Below are 19,392 nucleotides of genomic sequence, written 5' to 3' on the forward strand. Positions count from 1 at the left end.
TCAGGCAGTCCTCCACTCCCCACCCTCAGCTTGGGTCTGCAGTACAGCAGCCCCACTCCTGGCTGATCATCACAATCAGCAATGGCTCTGCATTTCTCTGGGGTGGAGTTCCCAGAGGCAACTAACAGCCCCTCTTCCACTGCTGCCACTGTAGTACCCTGCCTTGCTGCCCTAGTGATGGAAAGGGAACAATTCACCTGATTGCTGTGTTTATATCTCCAGCATGCCATAGCCGCCCTACAGAGGGAAGGCCAGACTGTCTTCCCTGTTAGTCCCTGCCCCCACTACTCTTTACAAGGCAGGGCTCCCTAGCATGGGTCATAGCACACCTGCCACATCCCCAGCTGTTTACTAATCAGCTATGGTTTTTCATTTAGCTGAGGTGGAACGCCCAGAGTCATCTGACAGGCCCTCTGCCATTGCTGCTGCCATGGTCCCCACCCCTGCTGCCTCCAAGCTGAGGAGGGAAGAAAAAACTTCACCACACTCCAGGGTGGCAGTGCACAGCTTGGGAGTGGTGAACGGAGATCTGTGACCAGCACTCTGAAAGGAGAGGAGTTTACACTCCCAGAGCACTGAGAGGGGTAAGTTGCATGGGCTCATGGGCTGTCACAGGAGGGGAGCATGCCTGCCTCCACAAAGCCAGCCCAGAAAATGTGAGGCCTATTTCCCTCCTGCCTGCTGTCTCTGCCTGAGGAAGCCCCATGAACCAAAAGAGCTAAGAAAAGAGAAACTGACACAGTGCCAGTGATGTGAGGAAGCTCCCCTAAGGTCCAGATGTATAGCTAATGAGGTCATCTCTCTCTCTGTTGCAACACAGAGCACAGCTACAAACGCCAGGAAATAAAAAGAAGCCAGTGGCTTAGTAAGAGCCTACCTACTGCCAGTACTCTTAAGAACTATCTACTGCATCTCGGCCCAATGTAAAACACCAAAACTACTTAGCTAATATACCCCCCTATGGAACCAAGGGCAGTAATTCAGTCGCAAAAAAAGAAAGACTCTACACAGAGCATTGGCTTTCTGGAACCATCTACAAACAAAGCTAACTGACTATATTCAACTTATAACCACAATTAAAAGAACATCAACCCTTCCAGATGAGAAATAATTAGCACAAGAACCCTGGCAATTCAAAAACCAAAGTGTCTATGTACCTCCAAGGGAGTCCACTAGTCTCCAACAATGAATCTTAAGTTGAAAATAATAGATATAGAATTCAGAATCTTTATGGCAAGGAAGTGCATTGAGTTGCAAGAGAAAGTTGAAACTCAATCCAAGGAATCCAGTAAGATGATCCAAGAGCTGAAATACAATATAGCTATTTTAAGAAATAACCAAACTAAACTTTTAGAGCTGAAAAACTCCCTACAAGAATTTCATACTTCGATGTAAAGTATTAACAGCAGAATAGACCATGCTGAGCATAGAATTTCAGAGCATGAAAAATGGTTCTGTAAATCAACTCAGTTAGACAAAAATGAAGAAAAAAAATTGTTAAAAAATGAACAAAACGTCCAATAAATAATGGGGTTATGTAAAGAGACCAAGTGTTTGACTTATTGGCATTCCTAGGAGAGAGAAGAAGGGGGAAAAATAACTTGGAAAATATATTTGAGGATATAGTCCATGAACATTTCTCTACTCTCACTAGAGAGATGGACATTCAAATCCAAGAAATAGAAAGAATTTCAGCTAGATATTTTACAAGATGACCAACCACTAAGGCACATAGTCATCAGATTCAGCAAGCTCAATGCAAAATAAAAAAGCCTTAAAGGAAGCTAGAGAGAAGGATAAAGTCATATACAAAGCAAACTCCATCAGCTAGCAGCAGACATCTCAGCAGAAACATTATAAACATAAGTGATTGCAGACCTATTTTCAGGATCCTTAAAGAAAAGAAATTCCAAGCAAGAATTCATATTCTTCAAAACTAAGATTCATAAGTAAAGGAGGAATAAATTCTTCTCAGACAGGCAAATACTAAGGGAATTTATTCCAACCAGACCAGCCTTAAAAGAGGTTCTTGAGAGAGTGCTACACATGGAACCAAAGGGGGAAAAAAAGGCTAGCACAAAAACATACCTAAGTACAAAGATCACAGACACTATAAAACAATCACACAAACAAGTCTACAGAATAACCAGCTTACAACATGATGACAGAATCAAAATCTTACATATCAATACTAACCCTGAATGTAAATGGGCTAAATGCCCCCACATAAAAGACATGGAGTAGCAAACTGGAAAAAAAGATAAGACCTAACTATCTACAGTCTACAAGAGACCCAGCTCACATGCAGTGAAACACACAAGCTCAAAGTAAAGAGATGAAGAAAGATCTGTCATGCAAGTGGAAAACAACAACAAAAAGTAGGAGTTGATATTCTTGAAGAAGGGCATACATAATAATACAGAGTACCAACAAGAAAACTTAACTATTCTAAATATGTAGGCACCTAAATAAATATGCACTCACATTTATAAAACAAGTTCTTCTTGGCCTATGAGAAGACTTAGAAAACCACACAATAATAGTGGGAGATTTCAACACCCCAAAGAGCATTGAGGGAGAAAACTGTCAAAGAAACATTAGAGTTAAACAGTACACTTGACCAAATGGACATGATACACGTCTACAGAACACTCCATCAAACAACCACAGAGTATATATTATTTTCACCTGCACACGGAACAAATTCTAAGACAACCACATGCTTGATCATAAAGCATGTCTCAACAAATTCGAAACAGTTGAAATCATACCAGTTAACAACCTCAGGCAACAGTGCAATAAAAATACAAATGAATATCAAGAAAATCTCTCAAAACCACACAAATAATTTGGAAATTGAACAACTTGCTCCTAAATTACTCCTGGGTGGACATCAAATTTTCGTCAGAAATAAAAATAATTGAAATTAATGAAAATAGGGACACAACTTACCAAAAATGGAAACATTTTTCTTGAAAAGTTGAACAAGGCAAGGATGTCCACTCTCACTCCTCCTATTTAACATAGTACTGAAAGCCCCAGCCAGAACAATTAGGCAAGAGAAAGAAATAAAAAAAACATCTAAATAGGAAAAGAATAAGTCAAGCTATTTTTCCTGACATTATGATTCTATACCTAGAAAATACTAAAGACTCCACAGAAAGGCAACCAAATCTGGAAAATAATTTTGACAATGTTTCAGAGTAAAAAAAAAGTCACTGTACAAAAATCAGTGGCATTTTTATAGACCAAAATGTCTAGGTTGTGACTCAAATCAAGAACACAATCCCACTTACAATAGCTACAAAGAAAATGAAATATCTAGGTATACAACTAACCAAGGAAGTGAAAGATCTCTCCCAGGAGAACTACAAAACATTGCTGAAAGAAATCAGAGACATCACAAATAAATTAAAAAAAAATTTTGTGCTCATGGATTGGAAGAATCAATATAATAAAAATGGCCATACTGCCCAAAGCAATTTACAAATTCACTGCTAGTCCTATCAAACTACCAATGTCATTCTTCACAGAATTAGAAAAAAACTATTCTAAACATTATATGGAACTTAAAAAAGAACCCAAGTAGCCTAAGCAAAAAGAACACAGCCAGACACATCATACAAACTGAGTTCAAACTATATTATAAGGCTACAGTAAAACAAAACACCATGATATTTGTCAGGCCTCTGAGCCTAAGCTAAGCCATCATATTTCCTGTGACCTGCGCTTACACATCCAGATGGCCGGTTCCTGCCTTAACTGATGACATTCCACCACAAAAGAAGTGAAAATGTCCTGTTCCTGCCTTAACTGATGACATTGTCTTGTGAAATTCCTTCTCCTGGCTCATCCTGGCTCAAAAGCTCCACTACTGAGCACCTTGTGACCCCCACTCTGCCTGCCAGAGAACAACCCCCTTTGACTGTAATTTTCCTTTACCTACCCAAATCCTATAAAACGACCCCACCCCTATCTCCCTTCGCTGACTCTCTTTTCAGACTCAGCCCACCTGCACCCAGGTGAAATAGACAGCTTTATTGGTCACACAAAGCCTGTTTGGTGGTCTCTTCATATGGACGTGCATGAAATTTGGTGCTATGACTCAGATCAGAGGACCTCCCTTGGGAGATCAATCCCCTGTCCTCCTGTTCTTTGCTCCATGAAAAAGATCCACCTACGACCTCAGGTCCTCAGACCCACCAGCCCAAGGAACATCTCACCAATTTTAAATCGGGTAAGCGGCCTCTTTTTACTCTCTTCTCCAGCCTCCTTCACTATCCCTCAACCTCTTTCTCCTTTCAATCTTGGTGCCACACTTCAATCTCTACGTTCTCTTAATTTCAATTCCTTTCATTTTCTGGTAGAGACAAAGGAGACATGTTTTATCCGTGGACCCAAAACTCCAGTGCCGGTCACAGACTAGGGAAGGCAGCCTTCCCTTGGTGTTTACTTATTGCAGGGATGCCTCTCTGATTATTCACCCAGGTTTCAGAGGTGTCAGACCATGCAGGGACGCCTGCCTTGATCCTTCACCCTTAGCGACAAGTCCCACTTTTCTGGGGAAGGGGCAAGTACCCCAACCCCTTCTCTCTGTGTCTCTACCCCTTCTCCACCTTTCTGGGGGGCAAGAGACCCCCAACCCCTTCTCCTTCACCCTTAGTGGCAAGTCCCACTTTTCTAGGGGAGGGGCAAGTACCCCAACCCCTTATATCTCTGCACCCCGATCCCTTATTTCCACACCCCAACCTCTTATATCTCTGTGCCCCAATCCCTTATTTCCATGCCCTGACATCATATCTCTGTGTCCCAACCCCTTTCCCACTTTTCTGGAGGGTAAGAACTCCCAAACCCCTTCCCTCTGTGTCTCTACTCTCTCTTTTCTCTGGGCTTGCCTCCTTCACTATGGGCAACCTTCCACCCTCCATTCCTCCTTCTTCTCCCTTAGCCTGTGTTCTTAAGAACTTAAAACCTCTTCAACTCTCACCTGATCTAAAATCTAAGCATGTTATTTTCTTCTGCAATGCCACCTGACCCCAATACAAACTTGACAGTAGTTCCAAATAGCCAGAAAACAGCACTTTCAATTTTTCCATCCTGCAAGTTCTAAATAATTATTGTCATAAAATAGGCAAACGGTCTGAGGTGCCTGATGTCCAGGAATTATTTTACACATTGGTCCCTTCCTAGTCTCTGTGCCCAGTGCAACTCATCCCAAATCTTCCTTCTTTCCCTCCCACCTGTCCCCTCCATCCCAACCCCCAGCATCGCTGAGTCTTTCTAATCTTCCTTTTCTACAGACCCATCTGACCTCTCCCCTCCTCCCCAGACTGCTCCTCACCAGGCCGAGCTAGGTCCCAATTCTTCCTCAGCCTCCGCTCCTCCACCCAATAATCCTTTTATCACCTCCCCTCCTCACACCTGGTCCAGCTTACAGTTTCATTCCGTGACTAGCCCTCCCCCACCTGCCCAGCAATTTACTCTTAAAAAGGTGGCTGGAGCTAAAGCCATAGTCAAGGTTAATGCTCCCTTTTCTTTATTCCAAATCAGATAGCGTTTAGGCTCTTTTTCATCAAATATAAAAATCCTGCCCAGTTCATGACTCATTTGGCAGCAACCCTGAGACACTTTATAGCCCTAGACCCTAAAAGGTCAAAAGGCCATCTTATTCTCAAAATACATTTTATTACCCAATCTGCTCCCGACATTAAATAAAACTCCAAAAATTAAATTCTGGCCCTCAAACCCCACAACAGGATTTAATTAACCTCGCCTTCAAGGTGTACAATAATAGAAAAAAGTTGCAATTCCTTGCCTCCACTGTGAGACAAACCCCAGCCACATCTCCAGCACACAAGAACTTCCAAACGCCTGAACCGCAGCAGCCAGGCATTCCTCCAGAACCTCCTCCCCGAGGAGCTTGCTACAAGTGCCAGAAATCTGGCCACCAGGCCAAGGAATGCCTGCAGCCCAGGATTCCTCCTAAGCCACGTCCCATCTGTGCAGGACCCCACTGGAAATCAGACTGTCCAACTCACCTGGCAGCCACTCCCAGAGCCCCTGGAACTCTGGCCCAAGGCTCTCTGACTCCTTCCCAGATCTTCTTGGCTTAGCGGCTGAAGACTGACACTTCCCGATCACCTCGGAAGCCCCCTAGACCGTCACAGACGCCGAGCTTCGGATAACTCTCACAGTGGAAGGTAAGTCTGTCCCCTTCTTAATCAATACGGAGGCTACCCACTCCACATTACCTTCTTTTCAAGGGCCTGTTTCCCTTGCCTCCATAACTGTTGTGGGTATTGACAGCCAGGCTTCTAAACCTCTTAAAACTCCCCAATTCTGGTGCCAACTTAGACAACACTCATTTAAGCACTCCTTTTAGTTATCCCCACCTGCCCAGTTCCCTTATTAGGCTGAGACACTTTAACTAAATTATCTGCTTCCTTGACTATTCCTGGATTACAGCTACATCTCATTGCTGCCCTTCTTCCCAATCCAAAGCCTCCTTTGCGTCCTCCTCTTGTATTCCCCCACCTTAACCCACAAGTATAAGATACCTCTACTCCCTCCTTGGTGACTGATCATGCACCCCTTACCATCTCATTAAAATCTAATCACCCTTACCCCACTGCACACCAATATCCCATCCCACAGCACGCTTTAAAAGGATTAAAACCTGTTATCACTCGCCTGCTACAGCATGGGCTTCTAAAACCTATAAGCTCTCCTTACAATTCCCCCATTTTACCTGTCCAAAAACTGGACAAGTCTTACAGATTAGTTCAGGATCTGCGCCTTATCAACCAAATTGTTTTGCCTATCCACCCTGTGGTGCCCAACCCATACACTCTTGTCCTCATTACCTTCCTCCACAACTCACTATTCTGTTCTTGATCTTAAAGATGGTTTTTTCACTATTCCCCTGCACCCCTTGTCCCAGCCTCTCTTTGCTTTCACTTAGACTAACCCTGACACCCATTAGGCTCAGCAAATTACCTGGGCTGTACTGCCGCAAGGCTTCACAGACAGCCCCCATTACTTCAGTCAAGCCCAAATTTCATCCTCATCTGTTACCTATCTTGGAATAATTCTCATAAAAACACACGTGCTTTCCCTGCTGATCATGTCCGATTAATCTCCCAAACCTCAATCCCTTACAAAACAACATTCCTTTCCTTCCTAGCCATGGTTAGTGTGGTCAGAATTCTTACACAAGAGCCAGGACTGCACCCTGTAGCCTTTCTGTCCAAACAATTTGACCTTACTGTTTTAGCCTAGCCATCATGTCTCCATGCAGTGGCTGCTGCCACCCTAATACTTTTAGAGGCCCTCAAAATCACAAACTATGCTCAAATTACTCTCTACATTTCTCATAACTTCCAAAATCGATTTTCTTCCTCATACCTGATGCATATACTTTCTGCTCCCTGGCTCCTTCAGCTGTACTCACTCTTTGTTAAGTCCCACAATTACCATTGTTCCTGGCCCAGACTTCAATCTGGCTTCCCACATTATTCCTGATACCACACCTGACCCACATGACTGTATCTCTCTGATCCACCTGACATTCACCCCATTTCCCCATATTTCCTTCTTTCCTGTTCCTCACCCTGATCACGCTTGATTTATTGATGGCAGTTCCACCAGGCCTAATCACCACACACCAGCAAAGGCAGGCTATGCTATAGTACAAGCAACTAGCCCGCCTCTTAGAACCTCTCATTTTCTTTCCATCGTGGAAATCTATCCTCATGGAAATAACTTCTCAGTGTTCCATCTGTTACTCTACTACTCCTCAGGGATTATTCAGGCCCCCTCCCTTCCCTACACATCAAGCTCAAGGATTTGCCCCCACCCAGGACTGGCAAATTAGCTTTACTCAACATGCCCCGAGTCACAAAAACTAAAATACCTCTTAGTCTAAGTAGACACTTTCACTAGATAGGTAGAGGCCTTTCCTACAGGGCCTCAGAAGGCCACCGCAGTCATATCTTCCCTCCTGTCAGACATAATTCCTCAGTTTAGCCTTCCCACATCTATATAGTCTGATAACAGACCAGCCTTTATTAGTCAAATCAGCCAAGCATTTTTTCAGGCTCTTAGTATTCAGTGAAACCTTTATATCCCTTACAGTCCTCAGTCTTCAGGAAAAGTAGAACAGACTAATGGTCTTTTAAAAACACACCTCACCAAGCTCAGCCACCAACTTAAAAAGGACTGGACAATACTTTTACCACTTTCCCTTCTCAGAATTCAGGCCTGTCCTCGGAATGCTACAGGGTATAGCCCATTTAAGCTCCTGTATGGACACTCCTTTTTATTAGGCCCCAGTCTCATTCCAGACACCAGACCAACCTGGACCGTGCCCCCAAAAAACTTGTCATCCCTACTATCTTCTGTCTAGTCATACTCCTATTCACCATTCTCAGCTACTCATACATGCCCTACTCTTGTTTACACTGCGGGTTTACACTGTTTCTCCAAGCCATCACAGCTGATATCTCCTGGTGCTATCCCCCAAACTGCCACTCTTAACTCTTGAAGTAAATAAATAATCTTTGCTGACAGGACTATGGTGAATTTCCTCAGGCACTCTAATTAGATGTCCTAGGTCCTCCCAATTCTTAGACCTTTAATACCTGTTTTTCTCCTTCTCTTATTCCGTTTAGTTTTTCAATTCATACAAAACCATATCCAGGCCATCACCAATAATTCTAAATGACAAATGTTTCTTCTAACAGTCCCACAATATCACCCCTTACCACAAAATCTTCCTTCAGCTTAATCTCTCCCACTCTAGGTTCCCACGCCACCCCTAATCCTGCTCGAAGCAGCCCTGAGAAACATTGCCCATTATCTCTCCATACCACCCCCAAAAATTTTCACCGTCCCAACACTTTACCACTATTTCATTTTATTTTTCTTATTAATATAAGAAGACAGGAATGTCAGGCCTCTGAGCCCAAGCTAAGCCATTATATCCCTTGTGACCTACACGTACACATCCAGATGGCCGGTTCCTGCCTTAACTGACGACATTCCACCACAAAAGAAGTGAAAATGGCGTGTCCCTGCCTTAACTGATGACACTGTCTTGTGAAATTCCTTCTCCTGGCTCATCCTGGCTCAAAAGCTCCCCTACTGAGCACCTTGTGACCCCCACTCTGCCTGCCAGAGAACAACCCCCCTTTGACTGTAATTTTCCTTTACCTACCCAAATCCTATAAAACCGCCCCACTCCCATCTCCCTTCACTGACTCTTTTCGGACTCAGCCCACCTGCATCCAGGTGAAATAAACAGCTTTATTGCTCACACAAAGCCTATTTGGTGGTCTCTTCACACGGACTCACATGAAAATATTAATATAAAAACAGACACATAGATTAATGGAAAAGAGTAGTAAACTCAGAAGTAAAACCACACACTTACAATTATCTGATCATCAACAAGGCTGACAAAACCAAGCAATGGGAAAAGCACTACCTATTCAATATATAGTGCTGGGATAACTGGCTAGTTATAAATGCAGAAGAATGAAACTGTACTCTTGCCTTTCATCATATACAAAAATTACTCCAAGATGAATTAATTAAATTTAAGATATCAGTCTATAAAAAACTTAGAAGAAAACCTAGGAAATATCCTTCTCAACACGGGCCTTGGCAAATAATTTTTGGCTGAGTTCTCAAAAGCAATTGCAAATATATGCCAAAAGTTGGCAACTGGTACATAATTAAAATCTTCCGCACAGCAAAAGAAACTATTAATAGAGTAAACAGACTACCTACACAATGGGAGAAAATATTTGCAAACTACACATCTGAAAAGGTTTAATATCCAGAAACTACAAGGAAATTAAGCAATTCAATAGTTTAAAAAACAAATAAAAACATTAAGAAATGGGCAAAATATAATCATAGACAAAAGACATACATGCAGTCAAAAATTACATATAAAAATACTAATCATTAGAGAAATGTAAATCAAAACCACAATGAGATACCATCTTACACTGGTCAGAATGCCTGTTCTTTTTTTTTTTTCCATGTTTCTTTCATTTTTTTTTTTTATTATTATACTTTAAGTTTTAGGGTACATGTGCACAATGTGCAGGTTAGTAACATATGTATACATGTGCCATGCTGGTGTGCTGCACCCATTAACTCGTCATTTAGCATTAGGTATATCTCCTAATGCTATCCCTTGCCCCTCCCCCAACCCACAACAGTCCCCAGAGTGATGTTCCCCTTCCTGTGTCCATGTGTTCTCATTGTTCAATTCCCATCTATGAGTGAGAACATGTGGTGTTTGGTTTTTTGTCCTTGCGATAGTTTACTGAGAATGATGATTTCCAATTTCATCCATGTCCCTACAAAGGACATGAACTCATCATTTTTTATGGCTGCATAGTATTCCATGGTGTATATGTGCCACATTTTCTTAATCCAGTCTATCATTGCTGGACATATGGGTTGGTTCCAAGTCTTTGCTATTGTGAATAGTGCTGCAATAAACATACCTGTGCATGTGTCTTTATAGCAGCATGATTTATAATCCTTTGGGTATATACCCAGTAATGGGATGGCTGGGTCAAATGGTATTTCTAGTTCTAGATCCCTGAGGAATCTAGGGATTTCTAACATAACACACTGACTTCCACAATGGTTGAACTAGTTTACAGTCCCACCAACAGTGTAAAAGTGTTCCTATTTCTCCACATCCTCTCCAGCACCTGTTGTTTCCTGACTTTTTAATGATTGCCATTCTAACTGGTGTGAGATGGTGTCTCATTGTGGTTTTGATTTGCAATTCTCTGATGGCCAGTGATGATGAGCATTTTTTTCATGTGTCTTTTGGCTGCACAAATGTCTTCTTTTGAGAAATGTCTGTTCATATCCTTTGCCCACTTTTTGATGGGGTTGGTTGTTTTTTTCTTGTAAATTTGTTTGAGTTCATTGTAGATTCTGGATATTAGCCCTTTGTCAGATGAGTAGGTTGTGAAAATTTTCTCCCATTTTGTAGGTTGCCTGTTCACTCTGATGGTAGTTCCTTTTGCTGTGCAGAAGCTCTTTAGTTTAATCAGATCCCATTTGTCAATTTTGGCTTTTGTTGCCATTGCTTTTGGTGTTTTAGACATGAAGTTCTTGCCCATGTCTATGTCCTGAATGGTAATGCCTAGGTTTTCTTCTAGGGTTTTTATGGTTTTAGGTCTAACATTTAAGTCTTTGATCCATCTTGAATTAATTTTTGTATAAGGTGTAAGGAAGGGATCCAGTTTCAGCTTTCTACATATGGCTAGCCAGTTTTCCCAGCACCATTTATTAAATAGGGTATCCTTTCCCCATTGCTTGTTTTTCTCAGGTTTGTCAAAGATCAGATAGTTGTAGATATGAGGCGTTATTTCTGAGGGCTCTGTTCTGTTCCATTGATCTATATCTCTGTTTTGGTACCAGTACCATGCTGTTTTGGTTACTGTAGCCTTGTAGTATAGTTTGAAGTCAGGTAGCGTGATGCCTCCGGATTTGTTCTTTTGGCTTAGGATTGACTTGGTGATGCAGGCTCTTTTTTGGTTCCATATGAACTTTAAAGTAGTTTTTTCCAATTCTGTAAAGAAAGTCATTGGTAGCTTGATGGGGATGGCATTGAATCTATAAATTACCTTGGGCAGTATGGCCATTTTCACGATATTGATTCTTCCTACCCATGAGCATGGAATGTTCTTCCATTTGTTTGTATCCTCTTTTATTTCATTGAGCAGTGGTTTGTAGTTCTCCTTGAAGAGGTCCTTCACGTCCCTTGTAAGTTGGATTCCTAAGTATTTTTTTCTCTTTGAAGCAATTGTGAATGGGAGTTCACTCATAATTTGGCTCTCTGTTTGTCTGTTATTGGTTTATAAGAATGCTTGTGATTTTTGTACATTGATTTTGTATCCTGAGACTTTGCTGAAGTTGCTTATCAGCTTAAGGAGATTTTGGGCTGAGACAATGGGCTTTTCTAGATATACAATCATGTCATCTGCAAACAGGGACAATTTGACTTCCTCTTTTCCTAATTGAATGCCCTTTATTTCCTTCTCCTGCCTGATTGCCCTGGCCAGAACTTCCAACACTATGTTGAATAGGAGTGGTGAGAGAGGGCATCCCTGTCTTGTGCCAGTTTTCAAAGGGAATGCTTCCAGTTTTTGCCCATTCAGTATGATATTGGCTGTGGGTTTGTCATAGATAGCTCTTATTATTTTGAAATACATCCCATCAATACCTAATTTATTGAGAGTTTTTAGCATGAAGTGTTGTTGAACTTTGTCAAAGGCCTTTTCTGCATCTATTGAGATGATCATGTGGTTGCTGTCTTTGGTTCTGTTTATATGCTGGATTACATTTATTGATTTGTGTATATTGAACCAGGGTTGCATCTCAGGGATGAAGCCCACTTGATCATGGTGGATAAGCTTTTTGATGTGCTGCTGGATTCAGTTTGCCAGTATTTTATTGAGGATTTTTGCATCAATATTCATCAAGGATATTGGTCTAAAATTCTGTTTTTGGTTGTGTCTCTGCCTGGCTTTGGTATCAGGATGATGCTGGCCTCATAAAATGAGTTAGGGAGGATTCCCTCTTTTTCTATTGATTGGAATAGTTTCAGAAGGAATGGTACCAGTTCCTCCTTGTACCTCTGGTAGAATTCAGCTGTGAATCCATCTGGTCCTGGACTCTTTTTGGTTGGTAAGCTATTGATTCTTGCCACAATTTCAGATCCTGTTATTGGTCTATTCAGAGATTCAACTTCTTCCTGGATTAGTCTTGGGAGAGTCTATGTGTCGAGGAATTTATCCATTTCTTCTAGATTTTCTAGTTTATTTGCGTAGAGGTGTTTGTAGTATTCTCTGATGGTAGTTTGTATTTCTCTGGGATCAGTGGTGATATCCCCTTGATCATTTTTTATTGCGTCTATTTGATTCTTCTCTCTTTTTTTCTTTATTAGTCTTGCTAGCTGTCTATCAATTTTGTTGATCCTTTCAAAAAACCAGCTCCTGGATTCATTAATTTTTTGAAGGGTTTTTTGTGTCTCTATTTCCTTCAGTTCTGCTCTGATATTAGTTATTTCTTGCCTTCTGCTAGCTTTTGAATGTGTTTGCTCTTGCTTCTCTAGTTCTTTTAATTGTGATGTTAGGGTGTCAATTATGGATCTTTCCTGCTTTCTCTTGTGGGCATTTAGTGCTATAAATTTCCCTCTACACACTGCTTTGAATGTGTCCCAGGGATTCTGGTATGTTGGTTCTTTGTTCTCGTTGGTTTCAAAGAACATCTTTATTTCTGCCTTCATTTCGTTATGTACCCAGTAGTCATTCAGGATCAGGTTGTTCAGTTTCCATGTAGTTGAGCGGTTTTGAGTGAGTTTCTTAATCCTGAGTTCTAGTTTGATTGCACTGTGGTCTGAGAGACAGTTTGTTATAATTTCTGTTCTTTTACATTTGCTGAGGAGAGCTTTACTTCCAACTATGTGGTCAATTTTGGAATAGGTGTGGTACGGTGCTGAAAAAAATGTATATTCTGTTCATCTGGGGTGGAGAGTTCTGTAGATGTCTATTAGGTCCACTTGGTGCAGCGTTGAGTTTAATTCCTGGGTATCCTTGTTAACTTTCTGTCTCGTTGATCTGTCCAATGTTGACAGTGGGGTGTTAAAGTCTCCCATTATTATTGTTTGGCAGTCTAAGTCTCTTTGTAGGTCACTCAGGACTTGCTTTATGAATCTGGGTGCTCCTGTATTGGGTGCATATATATTTAGGATAGTTAGCTCTTCTTGTTGAATTGATCCCTTTACCATTATGTAATGGCCTTCTTTGTCTCTTTTGATCTTTGTTGGTTTAAAGTCTGTTTTATCAGAGACTAGGATTGCAATCCCTGCTTTTTTTTGTTTTCCATTTGCTTGGTAGATCTTCCTCCATCCTTTTATTTTGAACGGGCAGACTGCCTCCTCAAGTGGGTCCCTGACCCCTGACCCCGGAGCAGCCTAACTGGGAGGCACCCCCCAGTAGGGGCAGACTGTCACCTCACACGGCCAGGTACTCCTCTGAGACAAAACTTCCAGAGGAAAGATCAGATAGCAGCATTCGCGGATCACGAAAATCCGTGGTTCTGCAGACATTGCTGCTGATACCCAGGCAAACAGGGTCTGGAGTGGACCTCTAGCAAACTCCAACAGACCTGCAGCTGAGGGTCCTGTCTGTTAGAAGGAAAACTAACAAACAGAAAGGACATCCACACCAAAAACCCATCTGTACATCATCATCATCAAAGACCAAAAGTAGATAAAACCACAAAGATGGGGAAAAAACTGGAAACTCTAAAAAGCAGAGCACCTCTCCTCCTCCAAAGAAACGCAGTTCCTCACCAGCAATGGAACAAAGCTGGATGGAGAATGACTTTGACGAGTTGAGAGAAGAAGGTTTCAGACGATCAAACTACTCCGAGCTACAGGAGGAAATTCAAACTAAAGGCAAAGAAGTTGAAAACTTTGAAAAAAATTTACATGAATGTATAACTAGAATAACCAATACAGAGAAGTGCTTAAAGGAGCTGATGGAGCTGAAAGCCAAGGCTCGAGAACTAAGTGAAGAATGCAGAAGCCTCAGGAACTGATGCAATCAACTGGAAGAAAGGGTATCAGTGATGGAAGATGAAATGAATGAAATGAAGTGAGAAGGGAAGTTTAGAGAAAAAAGAATAAAAAGAAACGATCAAAGCCTCCAAGAAATATGGGACTATGTGAAAAGACCAAATCTGCATCTGATTGGTTTACCTCAAAGTGATGGGGAGAATGGAACCAAGTTGGAAAACACTCTGCAGGATATTATCCAGGAAAACTTCCCCAATCTAGCAAGGCAGGCCAACATTGAGATTCAGGAAATACAGAGAACACCACAAAGATACTCCTTGAGAAGAGCAACTCCAAGACACATAATTGTCAGATTCACCAAAGTTGAAATGAAGGAAAAAATGTTAAGGGCAGCCAGAGAGAAAGGTCGGGTTACCCACAAAGGGAAGCCCATCAGACTAACAGCGGATCTCTCAGCAGAAACTCTAGAAGCCAGAAGAGAGTGGGGGCCAATATTCAACATTCTTAAAGAAAAGAATTTTCAACCCAGAATTTCATATCCAGACAAACTAAGCTTCATAAGTGAAGGAGAAATAAAATCCTTGACAGACAAGCAAATCCTGAGAGATTTTGTCACCACCAGGCCTGCCCTAAAAGAGTTCCTGAAGGAAGCACTAAACATGGAAAGGCACAACCGGTACCAGCCACTGCAAAATCATGCTTGTTCTTAAAAAATAAAAAACAGCAGATATTGGTGAGGTTGTGGAAGAAAAGAAATGCTTATACACTGTTGATGAGAATGTAAATTAGTTCAGACACTATGGAAAGTAGTTGAGAGCTTTCTTAAATAACTTAGTTATTTCTTAAATAACACAGAGCTACCATTTGACCCATTAATACTGTTACTGAATATATACACAAAGGAAAATAGATCATTAAATCAAAAGACACATGCACTCATATGTTCATTGCTAGGCTCTTCACAATAGCAAAGACATGCAATTAACCTAGTGCCCATCAGTGGTAGGTTAAATGAAAAAAATGTCATACATATACACCATAGAATATTATGCAGCCATAAAAAAATTAAATTATGTCTTTTGCAGCAACATGGATAAAGCTGGAGGCCATAATTCTAAGTGTACTAACACAAGATCCAAAAATCAAATACTGCATGTTCTCACTTGTAAGTGGGAGCTCAAAATTGTGTACACATGGATGTAAACATGGGAATAATAGATACTAGAGACTACTAGTCAGGAGAGAGTGTGGGGCTTGGGTTGAAAAACTACTCATCAGGTACTAGGCCCAATATCCTGCATGCAATACAACCCTGTAACAAACCTGCACAAGTACCCCCTATACCTAAAGTAAAAGTTGAAATAAAAAAATCTCAGGATAAAAAATCCTTTATGTTTTTAAAAAATTAATAAGTAAGCTTGAAAGCAAGAAGACACAGTCTTCAGGTAACATACATAATCTAATAAGAAACTTATAGCCATTAATTAGAGGGATGTAATCCTTTATGAAACTCTGAGATAATTGACATATTCCCCAGGATAGTTATTTTTTTTTGTCAAAATATCTCATACATTTCAGGATATTTGGCTTTTCTGGACCCATTCACACTAAATGCCAATAAGATCCAATAGTCATTGCAACAAGTAATAATGCATCAACTAGAAGAAAATTTATTATGAGGTTAATGAAGCTCAAATTTAAGGGTCTGCCATTACATAAACTCCTCCCAGAGCCCTGTACCTAATTTTGTATTTGTAAATTTGTATTATTCTTTAAAAGACATTAAGAGTTGTATAAAACTTCAGACCCCGCAATTCTAGATTTTACCCTGACTCAAACATTTTCAAACTCCGTCAGGCTAGGGAAGGAGGGACAGATACATTCTCAATTGAGAAACCGTGTTTTCAGGAAAAGGGATATTTACACACAAGTGAGGATTGGAACTGAGCCTATAGTCTATTTGTGTGTTGGATTCCTGAAAGTCCTCCCTTCTATATATCTGGAAGTGTGAAAATGATTGTGACATGTGTGACCCTAAATGTGGATAAGGAAGACTCTTTTTCCCGGCCTCAAAAAATGGATTACTAGTGAATTTTTTGTCCTGAAATATGAGTCTAAGGAATTCATCTGCAATAAACCAATATCACTATGTGTTTCAACCATGTGTGTTTGAGGGCTGAAATTACCAACTTATGTAAAAATTTTCAGCCAAAAAATTAAGACAATAAATCCTATGAGGATGATCTTATTAATAAAAATTACAAAATACCTCCCAAATCTCACCACTACAAGGCAAAGTTAGCATATGTAACAAATAGAAGAATTCACACTGGAGAAAATAAAAATAATAACACGAGCATATGTTATGTCACAGGAATTTAAGGTGTCACATTCCTGTGACAATCTGGAAAAGCCAAAAAAAAGTCCTACAACTTGAAGATCTTTATAATCTGTCTTTAGGCATAAAATTAAAGTTTTTTTTGTTTTTTTTTTTTTTAAATCAGGCCTATGAAACCAGTTCAGACTAAGAACCTCAGGAATGCTCTGGATTCCAGCTTGAGATGATCTTTGGGTTTGACTGTTGACTCTATCCTATTCGGACAACAAAATCAACTTCTAGGAGTTTCAGAACTTTTAGAAATGTGATATAAGCTATTGTTCATTTTCTTATAAACATAGTCACATATGTATATAACAAATTTTGTATACAACATCAAGATCATCACAAATTACCCAACATTTATTACTGTACCCCAAAGCAGTCATAAACCCTGGTTAACAACACCTATTATAGATAATAATATCTATGTATAGAAGCAACTGTTGAAATCCTTTGGATTTTATGTATCGCAAAAAATTGGGGTTCTACGAAGAGGCTTATATCTCAGCCCTTGTTTATTTCCTCTATGTTGTACTTCCATTTGGTACAGATATAATATATCCTGTATATATTATTTAGCTACAGAAAGCATCAAGTAATTTGAGCAAATTCATACTTTTTCATAGATCATTAAATTTCACAATGCTCTTAATCTATACCCTTTCAGAGGTGGAGAGTAGGAGATCCAAGCTAAAATGTTAAAAGTATATAACAAATAAATATGTTAAGATAAAATAAAAGTTGAAATTAGTATATAATTGAAATAGTGATAGAAGATAAATAAGATAAGGTCAGAAGTGATGATGGCTTAAAGATGCATGTTAAAATTACATAGTATATTTTCCATACCAGGATGCAAATGTGACTTAAGCTTTCAAGTAGAAAATGTGAACCCCAAAAATCTGAGACAGGTCTCAGTTAATTTAAAAAGTTTATTTTGCCAAGGTTGAGGATGCAGGCCTGTGACACAGCCTCATGAGGTCCTGACAATATGTTCCCAAAGTGGTCAGAGCACTGTTTGATTTTACGGATTCCAGGGAGACATGAGACATCAATCAACATTTCCAAGATGAGCATTGGTTTGGTCTGGAAAGGGACAACTCAAAGCAAAGGTGGGAAGACTGAAAGCAGGGAGAGGACTTCCAGGTCATAGGTAGGTAAGAGAAAAATAGCTGCATTCTTTTGAATTTCTGATTAGCCTCTCCCAAGGAGGGAATCAGATATGCATTTATCTCAGTGAGCAGAGGGGTGACTTTGAAAAGCATGGGGGGCAGGTTGGCCCTAAGCAGTTTCTAGCTTGACTTTTCCCCTTTCACAAAAATGTAAAGCATTATTTTCTGATATTGCTTAATCCAAGAATATATTTAAAAGCATATAAATCTGGGATCAGAAAACACTTTCTTTAAATAGTGAATAGTTTAAATATTGTGAGCCATATGGTCTCAAACTCATATTCTTTGCTTTTTTTGTTTTCTGTTTGTTTTATATTAGTTTGTTTTACAGCCCTTAAAAACTGTAAAATACTTTCTTAGCTCCCAGGCCATACAAAAACAGATCCATAAGTTTGCCAACCTCTGATATGGAAATTTGATTGACTAAGGATTCTTTAAACAATTTTGCATAGATATTGCCTCTTTCTACTGAAATTTGCTAAGACAGCAATGCTAAATTTCAAGTCGTGCTTACTAATAAGTACCTGATTTATAACCCTTCTTATTTACCAGTTAATTATGAAAGCTATATTATTTCCCAGCAAGTCAAGTTAGGGATATAATTGCTATTGTCTTGAAAAAGTTTAGAAACCTGACTGTTATTTTGGTTTTCTTGAGAGCAGATGCCAATATGAGATTAGATATTCAAGACATATGTTTAAAGTAATGTTTATGGAAGATAAACAGAAAAAGCAGAGATAATCTTCATACAGTAATACTGAAACCTGTGAAAGAACAAACCATAGGGAGGTGGATTGAATATGAAAAGTTCCAGACTGTAGCACAGCTTTGAAAAAGATTTGGTCAGGCCATAAAATAGTGCTATGTCCCACAGAGAATACTCATACTCTGTTATTGACTGAGGTATTCCAGAAGAAATGTGGACTCAGCACAAAGCAGAGATATATCTAGAGGAACAGTGGCTAGGATTTTCAGCCAACTACACTTCCCAGAGCAAAAGATCTGAGTGACACATTTCCCTGTCTGCCTACACTGACAAAAAAACACAGTTTTTTAAAGAATGGCAAATTTGTCAAATAATTATGTACAAAAAAGCATCAGTAATTTAAAAGAGAATTATTTCAGCCTTTTTTACATTTTATTTTTTAAGTGGAAGATTTTTATTATTTTATTTTTATAGATTTTTAATTTTTAATTTTCATGAGCACATAGTGGGTGTGTAT

At 40.0% G+C, this 19,392-nt stretch overlaps 1 annotated feature.

Moving 5' to 3' along the window:
• Positions 8,772-9,295: an enhancer, noted in NCBI's record as "NANOG hESC enhancer chrX:92283050-92283573 (GRCh37/hg19 assembly coordinates)". NCBI's record gives its function as "activates a minimal SCP1, AML or CMV promoter by ChIP-STARR-seq in primed H9 embryonic stem cells {active_cell/tissue: H9 hESC(primed)}" and the evidence as "EXISTENCE:reporter gene assay evidence [ECO:0000049][PMID:30033119]".

Source organism: Homo sapiens, chromosome X (genome assembly GCF_000001405.40).
Source record: "Homo sapiens chromosome X, GRCh38.p14 Primary Assembly".
Lineage (NCBI taxonomy): Eukaryota > Metazoa > Chordata > Mammalia > Primates > Hominidae > Homo > Homo sapiens.